Source organism: Homo sapiens, chromosome 2 (assembly GCF_000001405.40).
Source record: "Homo sapiens chromosome 2, GRCh38.p14 Primary Assembly".
Classification (NCBI taxonomy): domain Eukaryota; kingdom Metazoa; phylum Chordata; class Mammalia; order Primates; family Hominidae; genus Homo; species Homo sapiens.
The window spans coordinates 219,553,879-219,571,658 of record NC_000002.12 but is presented as its reverse complement, the minus strand read 5'-3'; the positions used below and the strand labels follow the sequence as shown (position 1 = coordinate 219,571,658).

At 57.3% G+C, this 17,780-nt stretch overlaps 1 protein-coding gene across 15 annotated transcripts in view, besides 8 other annotated features; it reads left to right on the top strand.

Annotated features, from left to right (window-relative positions):
• OBSL1 (obscurin like cytoskeletal adaptor 1) overlaps nt 120-17,780 on the top strand; it is a 24,334-nt gene continuing 6,673 nt past the window's right edge. For 4 of the 15 annotated variants that reach the window (XM_011510857.3, NM_015311.3, XM_017003697.3 and 1 more), the window contains exons 1-15: nt 120-1,438; nt 3,335-3,604; nt 3,690-3,941; nt 4,084-4,386; nt 4,533-4,829; nt 6,145-6,417; nt 8,032-8,304; nt 8,985-9,257; nt 12,162-12,434; nt 13,200-13,475; nt 13,549-13,836; nt 14,041-14,316; nt 14,936-15,205; nt 15,367-15,639; nt 16,919-17,185. In XM_011510857.3, coding sequence (XP_011509159.1) covers nt 427-1,438; nt 3,335-3,604; nt 3,690-3,941; nt 4,084-4,386; nt 4,533-4,829; nt 6,145-6,417; nt 8,032-8,304; nt 8,985-9,257; nt 12,162-12,434; nt 13,200-13,475; nt 13,549-13,836; nt 14,041-14,316; nt 14,936-15,205; nt 15,367-15,639; nt 16,919-17,185 — 4,876 coding nt within the window. In that variant the 5' untranslated portion in view covers nt 120-426. Of the gene's footprint in view, nt 1,439-3,334; nt 3,605-3,689; nt 3,942-4,083; nt 4,387-4,532; nt 4,830-6,144; nt 6,418-8,031; nt 8,305-8,984; nt 9,258-9,650; nt 9,938-12,161; nt 12,435-13,199; nt 13,476-13,548; nt 13,837-14,040; nt 14,317-14,935; nt 15,206-15,366; nt 16,511-16,918; nt 17,186-17,780 lie in introns of those variants that run through there. The other 11 variants (XM_011510865.3, XM_017003699.2, XM_017003698.2 and 8 more) reach the window with 11 other exon arrangements.
• Nucleotides 339-1,176: an enhancer, noted in NCBI's record as "H3K27ac-H3K4me1 hESC enhancer chr2:220435205-220436042 (GRCh37/hg19 assembly coordinates)". NCBI's record gives its function as "activates a minimal SCP1, AML or CMV promoter by ChIP-STARR-seq in primed H9 embryonic stem cells {active_cell/tissue: H9 hESC(primed)}" and the evidence as "EXISTENCE:reporter gene assay evidence [ECO:0000049][PMID:30033119]".
• Nucleotides 1,177-2,014: an enhancer, noted in NCBI's record as "H3K27ac-H3K4me1 hESC enhancer chr2:220434367-220435204 (GRCh37/hg19 assembly coordinates)". NCBI's record gives its function as "activates a minimal SCP1, AML or CMV promoter by ChIP-STARR-seq in primed H9 embryonic stem cells {active_cell/tissue: H9 hESC(primed)}" and the evidence as "EXISTENCE:reporter gene assay evidence [ECO:0000049][PMID:30033119]".
• Nucleotides 4,137-4,998: an enhancer, noted in NCBI's record as "H3K27ac-H3K4me1 hESC enhancer chr2:220431383-220432244 (GRCh37/hg19 assembly coordinates)". NCBI's record gives its function as "activates a minimal SCP1, AML or CMV promoter by ChIP-STARR-seq in primed H9 embryonic stem cells {active_cell/tissue: H9 hESC(primed)}" and the evidence as "EXISTENCE:reporter gene assay evidence [ECO:0000049][PMID:30033119]".
• Nucleotides 4,999-5,860: an enhancer, noted in NCBI's record as "OCT4-H3K27ac-H3K4me1 hESC enhancer chr2:220430521-220431382 (GRCh37/hg19 assembly coordinates)". NCBI's record gives its function as "activates a minimal SCP1, AML or CMV promoter by ChIP-STARR-seq in naive H9 embryonic stem cells {active_cell/tissue: H9 hESC(naive)}" and the evidence as "EXISTENCE:reporter gene assay evidence [ECO:0000049][PMID:30033119]".
• Nucleotides 5,861-6,722: an enhancer, noted in NCBI's record as "OCT4-H3K27ac-H3K4me1 hESC enhancer chr2:220429659-220430520 (GRCh37/hg19 assembly coordinates)". NCBI's record gives its function as "activates a minimal SCP1, AML or CMV promoter by ChIP-STARR-seq in naive and primed H9 embryonic stem cells {active_cell/tissue: H9 hESC(naive and primed)}" and the evidence as "EXISTENCE:reporter gene assay evidence [ECO:0000049][PMID:30033119]".
• Nucleotides 10,171-11,034: an enhancer, noted in NCBI's record as "H3K27ac-H3K4me1 hESC enhancer chr2:220425347-220426210 (GRCh37/hg19 assembly coordinates)". NCBI's record gives its function as "activates a minimal SCP1, AML or CMV promoter by ChIP-STARR-seq in naive H9 embryonic stem cells {active_cell/tissue: H9 hESC(naive)}" and the evidence as "EXISTENCE:reporter gene assay evidence [ECO:0000049][PMID:30033119]".
• Nucleotides 11,218-11,512: an enhancer, noted in NCBI's record as "tiled region #8831; K562 Activating non-DNase unmatched - State 13:Ctcf". NCBI's record gives its function as "activates a minimal TATA promoter and a strong SV40 promoter by Sharpr-MPRA in K562 cells {active_cell/tissue: K562}" and the evidence as "EXISTENCE:reporter gene assay evidence [ECO:0000049][PMID:27701403]".
• Nucleotides 13,780-13,970: a silencer, noted in NCBI's record as "fragment chr2:220422411-220422601 (GRCh37/hg19 assembly coordinates)". NCBI's record gives its function as "represses an EF-1alpha promoter that drives an FKBP-Casp9 reporter gene in an ReSE screen in K562 erythroleukemia cells {active_cell/tissue: K562}" and the evidence as "EXISTENCE:reporter gene assay evidence [ECO:0000049][PMID:32094911]".

Sequence of the window (17,780 nt, the reverse complement as noted above, 5' to 3'; positions counted from 1 at the left end):
GGCGCCTCTGCCACTCAGGCCCAAGCCTGGCGGGCGGCTGGGGACCTGGCGGCTGGAGGTGGGAGGGAGGAGGGGGAAGAGGCCCAAGCTGTGGGAGGGGGCTGGGAAGAGAGGCTCCTAAGAGCAGGAAGCCAGGCAGCGGGCAGGGGAGGCTGCGGGGCCACTCGCTGGAGAGGCAAACAGGAAGGACTGCCCCCTGAGCGCCAGGCTTCGGGCCCGGGAATCGCCGCCGCCGCCGCCGCAGAGCTGCAGCTCGGGGCCGAGGGTAAGGAGGCGAGCCGGGAGCGGGAGGCCCGGGAGAGCTCCGCGGGTCCCCGCGCCCAGTCCCCAGCCGCGCCCCGACCCCGCCGCCCCGGGCCTCGGCTCGCCCTCCGCACCCCCCCCTGCCCCCCCACCGTTCGCCGCTGCAGGCGGTCGGCCGCCGCGATGAAGGCGAGCTCGGGGGATCAGGGGAGCCCCCCGTGCTTCCTGCGCTTCCCGCGGCCTGTGCGGGTGGTAAGTGGCGCCGAGGCCGAGCTCAAGTGCGTGGTCCTGGGGGAGCCGCCGCCTGTAGTGGTGTGGGAGAAGGGCGGGCAGCAGCTGGCGGCCTCGGAACGCCTGAGCTTCCCGGCGGACGGCGCGGAGCACGGCCTGCTGCTGACCGCCGCACTGCCCACCGACGCGGGGGTCTACGTGTGCCGCGCCCGCAACGCGGCCGGCGAGGCCTACGCGGCGGCCGCCGTCACCGTGCTGGAGCCGCCGGCCTCCGACCCCGAGCTGCAGCCCGCCGAGCGCCCGCTGCCATCGCCGGGGTCCGGGGAGGGCGCCCCGGTCTTCCTCACGGGGCCTCGATCCCAGTGGGTGCTGCGGGGGGCGGAGGTGGTGCTGACGTGCCGGGCGGGGGGCCTCCCCGAGCCCACACTGTACTGGGAGAAGGACGGGATGGCCCTGGACGAAGTGTGGGACAGCAGCCACTTCGCGCTCCAGCCGGGCCGCGCCGAGGACGGCCCCGGCGCGAGCCTGGCACTGCGCATCCTGGCGGCTCGGCTGCCGGATTCCGGCGTCTACGTGTGCCACGCCCGCAACGCGCACGGCCACGCGCAGGCGGGGGCGCTGCTCCAGGTGCACCAGCCCCCCGAGAGCCCGCCCGCGGACCCCGACGAGGCCCCCGCGCCGGTGGTGGAGCCGCTCAAGTGCGCGCCTAAGACCTTCTGGGTGAACGAGGGCAAGCACGCCAAGTTCCGCTGCTACGTGATGGGCAAGCCCGAGCCCGAGATCGAATGGCACTGGGAGGGCCGCCCGCTGCTCCCGGACCGCCGCCGCCTCATGTACCGCGACCGCGACGGCGGCTTCGTGCTCAAGGTGCTTTACTGCCAGGCCAAGGATCGTGGGCTCTACGTCTGCGCCGCGCGCAACTCGGCGGGCCAGACGCTCAGTGCCGTGCAGCTGCACGTGAAAGGTACGGCGGAGCCCGGGACCTAGGGAGGGGCCTCGAGTGTCCTCCGAGGCCCTCCGAACTCCAGCCCTCCTCGGTGCCCAGCGCTGCCCCCAAGACTGGAGGAGAGGTGGTCCGCGGGAATATTAAAATACCAAACCCGCCCGCCTCTCACTCCCCAGGGATTCGGATTTAGTAGGTCTCCAGGGTACTCAGGAACTTCTTAGCAAACTCCTTAAATGATTCCGAGGCAGATGGTGGAACACCACTAAGGAGTGATTGATGTACAAATCCGGAGGGCCCTAGAACTCTTCTTCCCTAGTGGTTTTCAACGTCTTTGTTATTTTACTCCTCCTTCCCCCACTGAATTCACAACCAGAGCCCCAATATATGAGACAGATAAAGGAGTAGTTTATGGGCGTAAATTGCTGAGTCTACGTATATAACAGGTACTTCTAAACCATCAGTGAGAATAAGGAGGCTATTTTATTGAATACAGGAATTTGAATTAAAGGCTGCATTCATGAGACCAGGCTCTGAACCCTGTGGGGACGGCCTGGCTGCATCTGTCACCTTGAGAAACAAGTGATTCAGTGGAAAGCTAGACTTGAGGGAGGACAAATGTCCTGCGTGTTTTTACTATTCTTTGATTAAACTGCTCCCCACGTTTGCAAGAAGAGGAAGGTGAAGGAGAGAAGGTTTATATTTCAAAGTTGAATCACCAACAATATCCAATAAATGGTTACATTCTCATAAACAGAAAATTCCAAAGGAAAAAAAAGCACACCCCAAACTCACCAGAAGGTAACGCTCCCCATAATAGGATTTCATCACAACGCAAAAGAGTACACCTTCACTAGTTATTGTCCAGTTTTTTCTCTTAGAGGAAAAAAAGTTGGTAAATTCTCCTGAGTCCTTCCTAGCATGCAGTCAAGCATGTTGCCCCCAGGCTGCGGTGGTGGCCTCACTGTTACAGTTCAATGCTCACAGATTCATCAGGTTGGTGCTGATCTGGACCTCCATCAGGAAAGAAAAGCCCGGAGGGAAGGCTAGAGGAGCTTCCCCGAGTTGCATACACACACGCACACAAAAACTTGCTTCTCCAGCAGCCCTAGTTAATCCTCTGATTTCCAACATCCTGTTTTCTTTTCTTTTCTTTTTTTTTTTTTGAAATACACTTTTGAAAAGGGTTAAAATAGCTAGGCACAGTGGCTCACCCTGTAATCCCAGCACTTTGGGAGACTAAGGTGGGCGGATCATTTGAGGTCAGGAGTTCGAGAACAGCCTGGCCAACATGGCAAAACCCCATCTCTACTAAAAATACAAAATCATTAGCCAGGCGTGGTGGCGCCTGCCTGTAATCCCAGCTCTACTTGAGAGGCTGAGGCACCAGAATTGCTTGAACCCAGGAGGTGGAGGTTGCAGTGAGCCGAGATTGCGCGACTGCACTCCAGCCTGGGCAACAGAGCGAGACTCCATCTCAAAAAAAAAAAGAGTTAAAATATTTTAAATTCTACTCAGACCCTTGCAGAATATGTGAAATGACTGGGGCGGGGGGAGCCAGGGAACAGTTTGGAAATCACCAATCTAGGGCCTGGAGGACCCCAGGGAACAGTTTGGAAATCATCAATCTGGTCCAACCCCTTCTCTCCCTTTCCCCATTTTACAAGTAAGGAGACTGAGGCCCAGAAGCATTGAAATGGACTTGCTTAAGGTGATGTGGCTAGTGTCAGGGCTGGATGAGAACTCAGGTCATCTTAGGAACCACCACTTCCCTTCTGGTAGTTTTCTGTGATTCCACAGTGCCCGCTGGCTCTGCATGAAGAGCACACAGCATGAGCTAATGCGCTTCTAGGTATCCTACTCCTAGTCTGGGCCTTCTCCAGAGCCCTCTCTTGTCTCTCTCTCCCCTCTCCACAGAGCCCCGCCTCCGGTTCACACGGCCCCTGCAGGACGTGGAGGGCCGTGAGCACGGGATTGCCGTGCTGGAATGTAAAGTACCCAACTCCCGCATCCCCACGGCCTGGTTCCGTGAGGACCAGCGGCTGCTGCCCTGCCGCAAGTACGAGCAGATCGAAGAGGGCACTGTCCGGCGCCTCATCATCCACAGGCTGAAGGCAGACGATGATGGTATCTACCTGTGCGAGATGCGGGGCCGGGTGCGCACCGTGGCCAACGTCACAGTCAAAGGTCAGCTGGCCCGTGGGGAAGAGGCTGAGGCGGAGGCAGGCAGGTGCTCAGATTCCAGGTTGATGGATTCCTGTCCGCATCTCAGGGCCCATCCTGAAGCGCCTGCCCCGGAAGCTCGACGTCCTGGAAGGAGAGAATGCTGTGCTGCTAGTGGAAACTCTAGAGGCCGGGGTCGAGGGACGCTGGAGCCGTGATGGGGAGGAGCTGCCGGTCATCTGCCAGAGCAGCTCAGGCCACATGCATGCCCTGGTCCTTCCAGGGGTCACCCGAGAGGATGCTGGCGAGGTCACCTTTAGCCTGGGCAACTCCCGTACCACTACGCTTCTCAGAGTAAAATGTGAGGGCAGGAAGGCCTCTGGACAGGCGAGGCAGGGCAGGAGGTTGGCCAGATGCCGGAGCTGGGTTGGTGAAGTAGATTTAAGGTGGAAGGGCTGTGGAGGCCCAAGCAAGGCCGGAACACATCCCTGCCTTGGTCTCAGGTGTCAAGCACAGTCCCCCAGGACCCCCCATATTGGCAGAGATGTTCAAGGGCCACAAGAACACGGTCCTGTTGACCTGGAAGCCTCCCGAGCCAGCTCCCGAGACCCCATTCATCTACCGGCTGGAGCGGCAGGAAGTGGGCTCTGAAGACTGGATTCAGTGCTTCAGCATCGAGAAAGCCGGAGCCGTGGAGGTGCCGGGCGACTGTGTGCCCTCCGAGGGTGACTACCGCTTCCGCATCTGCACAGTCAGCGGACATGGCCGTAGTCCCCACGTGGTGTTCCACGGTTCTGCTCACCTTGGTGAGTTGGTCCTGCCAGACCCACCCATCACTTCTCCTCCCTTCCCCAGCCCTCAGTGCTGGTCCTCTCACAGGCTTGCCATCCGCCAGCCTCTGCCCTCTGCCACACCTTCTAGTTCTGACAGCTGCACTCTGTCCCTGCCTCAGTGCCCACAGCTCGCCTGGTGGCAGGTCTGGAGGATGTGCAGGTATACGACGGGGAAGATGCCGTCTTCTCCCTCGATCTCTCCACCATCATCCAGGGTACCTGGTTCCTTAATGGGGAAGAGCTCAAGAGTAACGAGCCGGAGGGCCAGGTGGAACCTGGGGCCCTGCGGTACCGTATAGAGCAGAAGGGTCTGCAGCACAGACTCATCCTGCATGCCGTCAAGCACCAGGACAGCGGTGCCCTGGTCGGCTTCAGCTGCCCCGGCGTGCAGGACTCAGCTGCCCTCACAATCCAAGGTTGGTGCCAGTGGGGACCTGAGTGGGCAGAAAGGGTCAAGACACAGAAGTCCTGTTGGCAAAACGAGGCAGATGCTGTTTTTATTTCTTGTATCTGGGCCAGGAGAGCAAGGAGCATCCATGATGGGCTGAGGTTGAGGGCTCAGAGGTCCGGAAGGCCAATTTCAACCCACATGCAACATCCAGGGCACCCCTTGTTATCTTGATATATGTCAGCATCATATCCCAATTCTCTGGAGTGCTTTGTGGTTTACAGAATCCTGTCAGATTTGTCATCTCATTTGAAAGACACAGACCCTGGCTGCTAGTCCCTGCCTGCCTCCTGCCATGTTGTCTAATTGTTGACATTGTCATCGCAACTTTCTACGTGCCAGGCGCAGTCCTAATCACCTTACATACATTAACACAATCTTCTCAATGGCCCTATAAGATAGGTTCTTTTTTTTTTTTTGAGATAGAGTCTCACTCTGTCGCCCAGGCTGGAGTGCAATGGCGCGATCTCGGCTCACTGCAACCTCCACCTTGTGGGTTCAAGAGATTCTCCTGCCTCAGCCTCCCGAGTAGCTGGGACTACAGACATGCATCACCATGCCCGGCTTGTTTTTGTATTTTAGTAGAGATGGGGCTTCGCCATGTTGGCCAGGCTTATCTCAAACTTAAGATAGGTTCTTTTGACATTCCCATTTTATAGCTGGGGAAACAGGCAGATACGTTAAGTGACTTGCTCAAAGTACGGAGCTAATGAGCACAGGTGCTGAATTATGAACCCAGGCAGTCGGGCTCCTGATCACACTGTGCCACCTGTTGAAAGGGGGAAGGAGGGGAATGAGGCATCCCTGAGGAGAACAGCTGGAGGTGGGGCGCTCAAAGTTCAAGGATCACGCTAGCATTTGCCATGTCACCATTGCTGGAGTTTGTAAGACCAATCAAGGAATCTGTCGGCACCCATGCACGGGGTCTTGGGGTGATTCACTGTCAGCATCGCAGGCAGAGGGGCCAGGTGAGACCTGACCAGCAACCAGAGCAGCATTTCCAAAATGGGATCCCAGTTCACTGACATCAGAACCACCTGGAGGGCTGGTTTATAATGCAGATTTCCTGGCCCCTGCGTGCTTGGGAATCCAAGAATTCTGCATTTTTAGCAGGCTCCCTAGGAATTCTTATGCACAGCCAAAGCACTGCTCTTAAGGGTTGGTGTGGAAGCCTAAGCCTATTTTTAAAAACCCCAACAACAGCAGTTGTTCCCTCTGATGCATCCGACACTGAGCCCATGCACCGGAGGGAGGGGTGCTTATCTGTACTTCTCCCCACACAGAGAGCCCGGTGCACATCCTGAGCCCCCAGGACAGGGTGTCGTTGACCTTCACAACCTCAGAGCGGGTGGTGCTGACTTGTGAGCTCTCAAGGGTGGACTTCCCGGCAACCTGGTACAAGGATGGGCAGAAGGTGGAGGAGAGCGAGTTGCTGGTGGTGAAGATGGATGGGCGCAAACACCGTCTGATCCTGCCTGAGGCCAAAGTCCAGGACAGTGGCGAGTTTGAGTGCAGGACAGAAGGGGTCTCGGCCTTCTTCGGCGTCACTGTCCAAGGTCAGGAAGCATGCCAGCCTGGGCTCCTCCAGCCAAGGCTGATTGTGGGGCCGCATAAGCCATGCCCTCTGGTCTGCTGCCTACTTGGGGGAGTCCTTTACAGGGAGAGTCCAGTGGCCCAGGGGACATGTTTCAGATAACTCTGCACTTGCTTTTTTGTTTCTTGTTTTTTTTGGAGACAGGCTCTCACTCTGTTGCCCTGGCTGGAGGGCAGTGGCGTGATCTCAGCTCATTGCAACCTCCGCCTCCTGGGTTAAAGCGATTCTCTCACCTCAGCCTCCCAAGTAGCTGGGACTACAGGTGCGCGCCACCACGCCCAGCTAATTTTTTTATTATTTGGTAGAGACGGTTTCACTATGTTGGTTAGGTCACCCCTGACCTCAAATGATCTGCCCGCCTCAGCCTTCTAAAATGCTGGGATTATAGGTATGAGCCACCATGCCTGGCTTTCTTTCTTTCTTTCTTTTTTTAAGATGAGGGTCTCACTGTTGCCCAGGCTGGCCTTGAACTCCTGTGCTCAAACGATCCTCCTTCCTCAGCCTCCTGAGCAGCTGGGATTATAGGTGTGTGCCACGCACAGCGTGCCTTTGCCTCCTAAACCCCTGATACACTAACACTGTCTCGCTGTCCACATAGCCTCTGCTGGGTTGGGTGGGGGAACAAAATGCAATTAAGGGGAGGAGAGATGGGAGCAAACACTTTTTGGACACTTACTCTGAGCCAAGCACTATGCTAAGTATTTTCAATATACACTCTTTCATTTAATCTTCACAACTCGATGAGGGGCAATATATCTCCAGTTCACAGGCAAAGAAATGGAGGCTGTAAGAGGTTATGTGACCTCCGTCACACCATAGCTTGGCGACACACACAGGATTGTTCTGTTCCTGCTGCCTCAGATAGAGTCAAACAGAAGCATCGAGTGCAGTCACCCCGTGGTTCTCACAAGGCAGTCCGTAGGCTGGCTGCTTTAGGAAGCTCCTGGAAGCTGGTTATAAATCCCTGGACTGTCCAGAGCCCCAGTATCCAGGGTGGAGCCTGAAGATCCTTTCCTAACAAGTGCAGACTCTCTGAGAGAGCAGCTTGGGAACCATGGATCCCACTCATCTCACTGAGTGGGAGTCCTGTTTTCCACACTGTGGCCCCTGCCTGAATGCACCCAGTGACAGGGAACCCACTACCTGGAGAGTGGCTGTCTCACTGTTGCCACTTGTTGGATCATCCTTCACCTCCTGCCCACCCTGGGGTCTTTCTCGTAATAGAGGCAGTAAGCATGGCCCTGATGTGACTTGTGACAGTGACCTCCCTTCAGCCTAGACAAATGGTGGCTGCCACTCTGTGAACTCTCTGTGCTTCCTTCTCTCTATGTACTCACCCCGCCACCTCTGATCCTTTGGGGACCTACAGAGCACTCTGGTGCCACATGATCTCCTGCCATGCCTCACCTGCCATGCCCTCAGCATTCCTTGTCATTGTCCCTGAGTCCCTACACAGCAGGACCTTAGCCCTCCTCCAGTGTCCTCTTGTGCAGAAACAGTGTCTCCTGGCCACACAGCTAGTTTGGACTCATTGTGCGGGGGTGTCTGTGCAATGCCATCTCTGCTTCCCACCCAGATCCTCCCGTGCACATCGTGGACCCCCGAGAACATGTGTTCGTGCATGCCATAACTTCCGAGTGTGTCATGCTGGCCTGTGAGGTGGACCGAGAGGACGCCCCTGTGCGTTGGTACAAGGACGGGCAGGAGGTGGAGGAGAGTGACTTCGTGGTGCTGGAGAATGAGGGGCCCCATCGCCGCCTGGTGCTGCCCGCCACCCAGCCCTCAGACGGGGGCGAGTTTCAGTGCGTCGCTGGAGATGAGTGTGCCTACTTCACTGTCACCATCACAGGTGGGGGGCCAGGTGGGCCTCGGAGGCACAGGGGAAGGTGCCCCTGCTCCCACTGGAACAGCTGCCACACCTTCACTCCCAGGCCACTGTTCCCCGCCCCTACTGCCCTCCCCCTGGCAGATCGGACCTCCTCCCTTTCTCCTCAAGCTATGGTCTAGTCACATTCAGGAAACGTGTTATCATAAGCACATTGGTCTTGGCTAAGGAAGCCTGGCTTTCTCTATTCTCCTGAAAACCTGTACCAAGGGAAATCTCTGGGGACAGTGAGTCTATTGCAGGGTAGGGCAGAGTCTAGGGCTGGTGGTCTCAGGCACTAGGGGGGCAAAAACATCTTGGAGGAGGAGACCCCCAGCTCCTCCCCCCAACCCTCCTCTCATCAGTTCCACCCTTCATACCGTCCCTGTCCCAACCCAGAGAATGTGGAGCGTTTCTACAGCCGAGGCTGACCCCGTGGTCCCCTCTGTGCAGCTCCTGCGCAGCAGAAAGTCTGCTGTGCTTTTGTGACAGCTGTATTCGTGTGTCTCTAGCTGTGAGTAACTGTCAGCTGCTGTGAGATTTGGTCTCAGGAAGGTCCCTCTTCAACACATGGCCTACTTTCCAGGGGTAGGGAACACAACGGGGTCAGGGAGGACGGCAGGGCACACCCCTCATGCCCGGCAGTGGCTGTCCCTGTCCTCCAGACGTCTCCTCGTGGATCGTGTATCCCAGCGGCAAGGTGTATGTGGCAGCCGTGCGCCTGGAGCGTGTGGTGCTGACCTGTGAGCTATGCCGGCCCTGGGCAGAGGTGCGCTGGACCAAGGATGGAGAGGAGGTGGTGGAGAGCCCCGCGCTGCTCCTGCAGAAGGAAGACACTGTCCGCCGCCTGGTGCTGCCCGCTGTCCAGCTCGAGGACTCCGGCGAGTACTTGTGTGAAATTGACGATGAGTCGGCCTCCTTCACTGTCACCGTCACAGGTGTGGGCCCAGCCCAGCTCCCCGGGGTCACAGAGACAGCCCTGAGCCCTGGAGGAGCTGGCCACATAGCCCCAGCTAGCACCCCGGGGAGGAGGGAGGTGTGGGCTGCAGGTGCATGTGCCAGGGTTCTTGCTGAGATGAGCCCAGGGCCCCTATTCAAGGAAACAAGCCCCTCCCCGGTGCCCAAGGCCAGGCCTAGCTCTGCTCCACAGCTCATTTACTGAGCACTTTCCCTGAATCAGGCACTGGGAGTAGCAGGTGAGTAATGCAAATACGGTCCCTATTCTGAATGAGCTGCCAGGCTAGGTGAGGAGGCAGCTGTTAACCAGGGGTCGCAAACGGGTAGTCCTGGGGCCCTGCGCATTCCACACATGTGCTTTGTTTGGTCTGCAGAGTCTTACCAAAGTCAGGACAGTTCAAATAACAATCCGGAGTTATGCGTCCTCTTGAAAAAGCCGAAGACCCGGCGGCTCTGGTCCCGCTTCCCCCCATGGCGACGAACAGCTGGCACTGAGTAGCAGCTGCCCCCATAGTTTGGGGCCCACATTCCTCTGTCCCACCTCCCTGCCATTGCTTTTTGCCTCTCCCCAGACTGCTTCAGCCGCTAACCTAACCTGGCCCCTGTGGGCATTTGAGTTTGCGACCCCTGTGTTAAACCAATAAACATGCAAATAAATGTACAGTGACACCTGGTGATAAGTACTGTGAGGGCCAAGGGCAGAGGGCTCAAGAGCACAGAGCAGGAGGGTCAGGGAGGCCTGGGAGAAAGTCACCCTTCCACACACGGGAGCCAGCAGCACGCAGACACGGCCGCTTCCCTCTAGGACTGCACAGCCTGGCAGGAAAGCCAGACGCATTCCAGGATCTTAGAGCATGGGTTGTTGAGGGCCAGTCTAGGGACCCTGGGGCTGGGAGCCACCACCCTGGCCAGGCAACAGGAAGTGCTTTCAAAGCTGATACTGGAGCTAAGTGGGGTGGGGTGTGGGGGAATATTCAAAGCGGGAGAAGCACAGGACAACTGTGGAAGTGACGGAGGTTCAGTGCCGGAGACCTCGGGGTGACGGCTCACAGCGCCCAGCCCAGTGTGTGTCTGGGGCTGGGGGTCCATAGGGCTAGGCAGCTCTGGGGGGCACAGAACCCCAGTGGCTGCACTGGAGCCCCCATCCTACTGCGGCCACAGTCCTGTCCTCTCCCAGCCCTGCCCTGAAAGTCACGCCCCATGCAGAGCTGTTTAGGGCCCCCCTGCTCCTTGCACCCCAGCTAATGCACTCTACACACACAAGCCCACAATGCCTAAGAGGCCTTCTGCACATATTCTGCCCTGTCGTAATCATCTTCACCCTCTCCCACCCAGCCATGGCCAGACAGAATGGCCACAGCCACACAAACTCCAGCCCATGCTCAGGCTCCCCACAAACACCAGTCTCTTCACAGGGAAGTTCACACAAACACCACCTCTGCTCTAGGCCAGAGCGAATCAAGTCTGACACCAAGCTGAGGTCCCGGGGCTGGGCAGCCACCCGGTCCCATCACTGCACCCTGTCCTCACCCCACTGCCCTCATCACCTTCCCCACTCCTCAGGCAGCTGCATTCTGGTCTCTCCTGGCCTTGCTCGGCCCCAGAGGACCAGCCTGCATCCCCCAGACCCTTAGAGCAAGCAAGCCCATGGGGGAGGTGGGTTGTGTGGCTCAAGGCAGGAGTCTCCGTGGAGGCTGGGGGGCTGAGTGGGAGCTTGTGGTTACCTCGGCCCATGCATGCCCCTATAAACCACCCCCAGCCCCCACCCCCCCAACCCTGGCCCCTGATTGGGAAGCTAGCAGTTCCTCAGCCCAGCCACCAGGGGGCCAGAGGCTAATGGAGCAGTAGTCGCCCCAAAACTTGAAGATTCTGGGGGGACCTGGGGGCAGCAGGGGTGTGGGCAGGCCTGGGCTCCATGCGCTGGTCACCTCTAATATTGACATGGTTCCCTTTCTGCAGAGGAGTGACCAGAACTTGGAGATGAGCTCCCAGAATCAGCATTTAGCACCCCTGGGGAACTCTCAGACAGACGTTGAATGCAAAAAGCATTACTGAGTTCCTGCAAGCCTTGGCTTGGAATTCCTGCCACTACCTGTGGGGTCTGAGCCTCCCTTTAACAGAGGGTATTTCCTCCTCCTGCCCCAGAGTGGGTGTAGCCAGCTGTGACCTTAAGGAAGTTGTATAATCACTCTGTGCCCAGTCCCTTATATGGAAAATGGGGACAAAACACTACCTTCCTCTTAGGATTGCCGTGAGAGTTAAATGTTTCAAGTGCTTGGGACTGTTCCTGGACCTTAGGAAGTGTCATATCAATGTTTGCTATTGTAGATCCACCATCCCTTATCCATGGTTCCAAAATTCCAAAACTCTCAAAATCAAAAGGCTTTTTGTAAGTTTTGTATTCCAAGTCATTTCAGGAAAACCTGAGCTTGATTGCTCTGAAGCTATTTCTATGCTTTAATTATCCTGCTGAGGGTGAATATAGCTATAGCTGTATATCTATAAGATATGAGTGTCTTATAGATATATGCTTGTATCTGTAAGATTCTGTATCTTTCAATCTATCCTGCTTAGGGTGAATGTAGTATGTGTTATACCACAGACATGTTAACGTGACCGATGAAGGGGGAGGCTCCCGTGGGGGCTGAGGAAGGTATGTGATAGATGAGAAACGCATCATTTCTGGAATCCAAAGCATTCTGGATTCTGTAACACCCTCTGGCCCCAGGGATTTCAGAGAACAAACTGTGGACCTATTATTGCTTATTATTATTTTACTTATTATTCTCATTATTATGTGGGTGATAGGGACTTCATGCTGCCGAATGGCTCCAGAGAGGCTGACGGTGAGCTTGTGACAGGCTGTGGTTGTCCCCACCCTGCAGAACCCCCAGTGCGGATCATATACCCTCGCGATGAGGTGACCTTGATCGCCGTGACCTTGGAGTGTGTGGTGCTGATGTGTGAACTGTCTCGGGAGGATGCCCCTGTGCGCTGGTACAAGGATGGGCTGGAAGTGGAGGAGAGCGAGGCCCTGGTGCTGGAGAGGGATGGGCCACGCTGCCGCCTGGTGCTACCTGCTGCTCAGCCCGAGGACGGGGGCGAGTTTGTATGTGATGCTGGAGATGACTCGGCCTTCTTCACTGTCACTGTCACAGGTGGGCAGTCTCTGCAGCACAGAGAGGAGGTAGAGAGGTAGGGGGCTAAGGGACAGACACCCACCTAGCCCCACCTCCCCCACCCCATCCCCAGCCTTCCCCTTATCCAGCTTCCTCATGTTTGGCCATCAGAATCCTGCTTAGCCACATCAGGTCAGGACCAGAGGCCTGGTGGGAGGGTGCCCAGCAATTAGAACCATTCGTTCATTCATCCATTCGTTCAATACTCATTGAGCAACTACTATGTGCTTGGCACTGTTTTAGATGCTGGGGATACAGCAGTGAACCAATAAGACTAAACCTCTTGTCTTCACAGAGTTTAAACTCTGGTGAGGGTGGACAGACAAAAAATAAAAGAGATGGTTTGTCAGGTGGTAACAAGTGCATCAGAGGCAAGGCAGGGAAAGGGGATAGGAAGTGGGGATGGGTGTGGAGTGGGGTGTGTAGATCTGGGTGTGAGTCTAGATCTGCCTCTTTCTGTCTGTGTGACCTTAGGCAAGTCAGTTTCTTCTAAAGAGGCCTCAGGTCCTCAGCCATGAAGTGCAGCCAGCAGCTGTGCACCTCTTGAGGGTGGTCAGAGTAACTGATTGAAAAAACACAGGGTTCTTAGGACAGTGCCTGGCACACAGCAGCTGCTCCATGGACTGCAGCTGGCACTGTTCTCAAGAGCTGTGCTGCCAGTGGGGAGGGCTGAGGATCTGGCGGGTGAGGCAGGAGAGGCCTGCTGGCCAAGCCTATGTGCCCCTCTCCATGCCCACCCACCAGCCCCACCAGAGAGGATTGTGCACCCGGCAGCCCGCTCCCTGGATCTGCATTTTGGGGCTCCAGGGCGCGTGGAGCTGCGCTGTGAGGTGGCCCCAGCTGGGTCTCAGGTGCGCTGGTACAAGGACGGGCTGGAAGTGGAGGCATCAGATGCCCTGCAGCTGGGTGCCGAGGGGCCCACCCGCACCCTGACCCTGCCCCACGCCCAGCCTGAGGACGCCGGGGAGTATGTGTGTGAGACCCGGCATGAGGCCATCACCTTCAATGTCATCCTGGCTGGTGGGTGCTCCTGGCCAACCCAGGGCAGGGAGGCAAGGGCAAGCATGGGATGACACCTTCCTCTCTTCTCCAGAGCCTCCAGTGCAGTTCCTTGCTCTAGAGACAACTCCAAGCCCGCTCTGTGTGGCCCCTGGGGAGCCAGTGGTGCTGAGCTGTGAACTGTCCCGGGCTGGCGCCCCCGTGGTCTGGAGCCACAATGGGAGGCCCGTGCAGGAGGGCGAGGGCCTAGAGCTCCATGCCGAGGGCCCCCGCCGAGTCCTCTGCATCCAGGCTGCAGGCCCAGCCCATGCAGGGCTCTACACCTGCCAGTCTGGAGCAGCCCCCGGAGCCCCAAGCCTCAGCTTCACCGTCCAGGTGGCTGGTGAGTACAGCCTGGGCATTAAGCCTGAGAGTGGCACCAAGCCTGAGAGTGGCACCCCAAACTCTGCGGGATTCCTGCTTTTCCAGCATGCCTTGCCCATCCCTGGCCCCACTTCTCTCAGTACCTTCCCCGTCATGCCTCCCCGTGCCCTCCTCAAAGCCCTGAGCCTCTCCCTCCCAGTGACCTCCAGCTCTGACTCCACAGAGCCCCCTGTGCGGGTGGTAGCTCCCGAGGCAGCCCAGACGAGGGTTCGGAGCACCCCAGGCGGGGACCTAGAGCTGGTGGTGCACCTCTCCGGGCCAGGGGGCCCTGTACGCTGGTACAAGGACGGGGAGCGACTGGCAAGCCAGGGGCGGGTGCAGCTGGAGCAGGCCGGGGCCAGGCAGGTGCTGCGGGTGCAGGGGGCACGGAGCGGGGACGCTGGGGAGTACCTGTGCGATGCGCCCCAGGACAGCCGCATCTTCCTTGTCAGCGTGGAAGGTAACAGTGTACCCCTCACACCCTGTGGGCTGTGGCACCCCAAGGACCATCTGCCACTTTCTAGGGCCCCCTTACTCCTCCACCCCCGCTTTGCTGCTTCTGGCTCCAACCAGTGCGTGCATGACCATCACTTGGATAGGGGCTCAGGGCTCCTCTTTCCAGAAACCCTCATGTTGAGAGCAGCATAAACCAGTGGTTAAAAGCAGGGGCTCTAGAGTCCACCCAGCCAGGTTCCAGCCTAGATTCTGTGCCCCAGTAGCTGTGTGACATTGGCCAAGTTGTTCAACCTGTCTGAGCCCCGGCTCTGAAAAGAGGGGATAGTGCTTTTCTTATAGGCCTGTTGTGACAAGTAAATGCTGTAAATAGGGTCCCTGGTAATTGATATTATTAGGGTGCCACCAAGGTGGGGTGCTAGGCTAGGATTATGAGGAACTGACTAAAAGGAGTGGCAGGGAGCTGGCATCTTGTCCTTTGGGCCATCGGTGTGGTCGATACATAGTAGGTCCTCACAGAAGGTCTGTTAAATGACTGGGGACGAGGGCCTGCATCCTGAGGAGGGGATGAAAAGGAGAGAGAAGAAAAGACTCAGCCCAGCTCACTGCCTTACCGTGCCCCTTAGAGCCACTGCTGGTGAAGCTGGTCTCGGAGCTGACACCACTCACTGTCCACGAGGGCGATGATGCCACGTTCCGGTGTGAAGTCTCCCCACCAGATGCCGATGTCACCTGGCTGCGCAATGGGGCCGTCGTCACTCCAGGGCCCCAGGTGGAGATGGCCCAGAATGGTTCAAGCCGCATCTTAACCTTGCGAGGCTGCCAACTGGGGGATGCAGGGACCGTGACTTTGCGGGCAGGGAGCACGGCCACAAGTGCCCGGCTCCATGTTCGAGGTTAGGTCCTGATGAGGATGAGATACTCTGTGTCCCGTGCCTGTACTCCCAACCAGGATTCCAGCAGCCTTGCCTCTCCACCTAGGGACAGACCAGTGGGATGGAGCAAGGGGCCAGCCTCCAACCCCACCAGACTCCATGGCCTCCTTCTTCCCCACCAGAGACAGAGCTGCTGTTCCTACGGCGGTTGCAGGATGTGCGGGCAGAGGAAGGCCAGGATGTGTGTCTCGAAGTGGAGACAGGCCGAGTGGGTGCAGCGGGGGCCGTGCGCTGGGTGCGAGGTGGGCAGCCCCTGCCCCACGACTCTCGCCTGTCCATGGCCCAGGATGGGCACATCCACCGCCTCTTCATCCATGGTGTCATACTGGCCGACCAGGGCACCTACGGCTGCGAGAGCCACCACGATCGCACCCTGGCCAGGCTCAGCGTGAGGCGTGAGTGCCCCGTCCTCTCTTAATGCATTACCCACCCTACACCACAGCCTTTTCTGGCTGTCCTGGAGTCCCTCAGGCCCCCACCAAAGTGCCCCTCATCGCTGAGAAAAGTCACCCATGGCCGTCCCAGCAGCAGCTTGCCCAAAGCAAAACTTTTCTTTTTCTAATATTTTTTATTTACCTTAGAAGTCCATGTGGATTTTGCATTCCATTGCATATTTCCAAGTCGGCTTTGCTATAAACACAAATATTCTCCAGAAAGACTTGCCATGGGCATCCTTCAGGCATGTATTCTAGGGATACACATACCCACTTAAGTAGCAGGGATGGCTGTCAAACAGCACCCCACACCTCCCACCCAAAGCTGGAGCCCTCTGTTTCCTATGTGACCTCATGCAAGTTAACCTCTTTGAGCCAAGTCTCCTTAAAAATGGGGCTGAGACCAGGTGCAGTGGCTCACGCCTATAATCCTAACACTTTGGGAGGCCAAGGCAGGAGGATCCCTTGAGGCCAGGAGTTCGAGGCCATCCTGGGCAACATAGCAAGAACCCATCTCCACAAAAAAAAATAAAAATTAGCCGGGCATGGTAGTTACTAGGGAGGCTGAGGCAGAAGGATTGCTTGAACCCAGGAGGTTGAGGCTATAGTGAGCTATGATCATGTCACGGCATTCCAGCCTGGGTGACAGCAAGACCCTGTCTCAAATTTTAAAAATGGGGTTGATCCCCGTCTCAAGTGTCTCTGGGAACATTAACTGAGATAACATGAAAATTCTTACACAGAGCTTGGTGAATGGTTGTCATTTGTGACACATCTCTTCTAACTTATTTCATTCAAGAAATCATCACAATAAACCTGTGTCCCAATGTTATTCACCTTGTACAGCTGGGGCAACTGGGGTCCAGAGAGGTCAGGCCATTTGCCAAAGATCACATAGCACACAAACTATGTGGTAGAGCGAGGTTCCATTCCTAGTGTGTCTGACTCCAAATTCCGTGCTCCTTCAAGTGTCACAGCACCCCTCACCCAGACTCCACGACCCCCTAACCACACTTCTCCCCCTTCCTGTGCCCTCATCTCCTAACCCTGATACAGCCCTCCCCCCGCCAAATCTGTCCACCGTGCTCCTTTCTTCCTGCACCCTGGTTCCGAACTTTTTTGGTCAGGACCTTAGGTTGGGTGTTCAGGGGTGTAGGCAGGGCCAAGGGATGAGGATTGACTGCAACCCCTGCCCAGAGCTGGAGGCCTCATCCTCCCTCTCTCCATCTCCCCCGGCCAGCGAGGCAGCTGAGGGTGCTGCGGCCTCTGGAGGACGTGACCATCAGTGAGGGGGGCAGTGCCACCTTCCAGCTGGAGCTGTCCCAGGAAGGTGTGACCGGGGAGTGGGCCCGGGGTGGAGTACAGCTGTATCCAGGACCCAAGTGTCACATCCACTCGGACGGCCACCGTCACCGACTGGTACTCAATGGCCTGGGCCTGGCCGACTCAGGCTGTGTCTCCTTCACAGCGGATTCCCTGCGCTGCGCAGCCAGACTCATTGTGAGAGGTGTGGCCTCCAGGACCACAGCCTGCCTGCTGACCTGTGTGGCCCTACTTACCCCAGGCATGAATACTGACCCCCAACTCGTGTGACCCCCACTGACCATGCCTGTCTCAGTGTGGCCCTCATTGACATCCCTGCCAGAGTGTGATCCCCCTGACTCATAGGCCCTGTGTGGCCCCAGAGTCCTCTGCCTGGGTGTGGCCCCTGACTGCCCAAGGCTCAGCCAACCACTGACTCTGCTACCAAGAGCATGCCTTTGCCATTGTGGTCACTGCTGTCTGCCCGCCTGCACACCACCCCACTGACCACTCTAACTGTGACCCTACTGGCTACACTGTCTGCCGTGGCTCCCTCTGCCCGCCTAAGTGTGGGCCCCGTGACCACTCCAGTCCCTTGAATCCACTGACTGCCTACGGGCGACATCACTAGCAAGTCTGCTTGAGTGTCCCCCATTTTTACTTCCAGTCCCAGGATGTTCCCACTGACCACTCCACTGGCATCTCTGCTTGTTTCCCCATTGCCCTCTGGCCCCCAGCTTCTCCCCCACTGACCACCTTAAAGTGTGACTCCCAGTTGGCCACTCCTAACCCATTGGCCC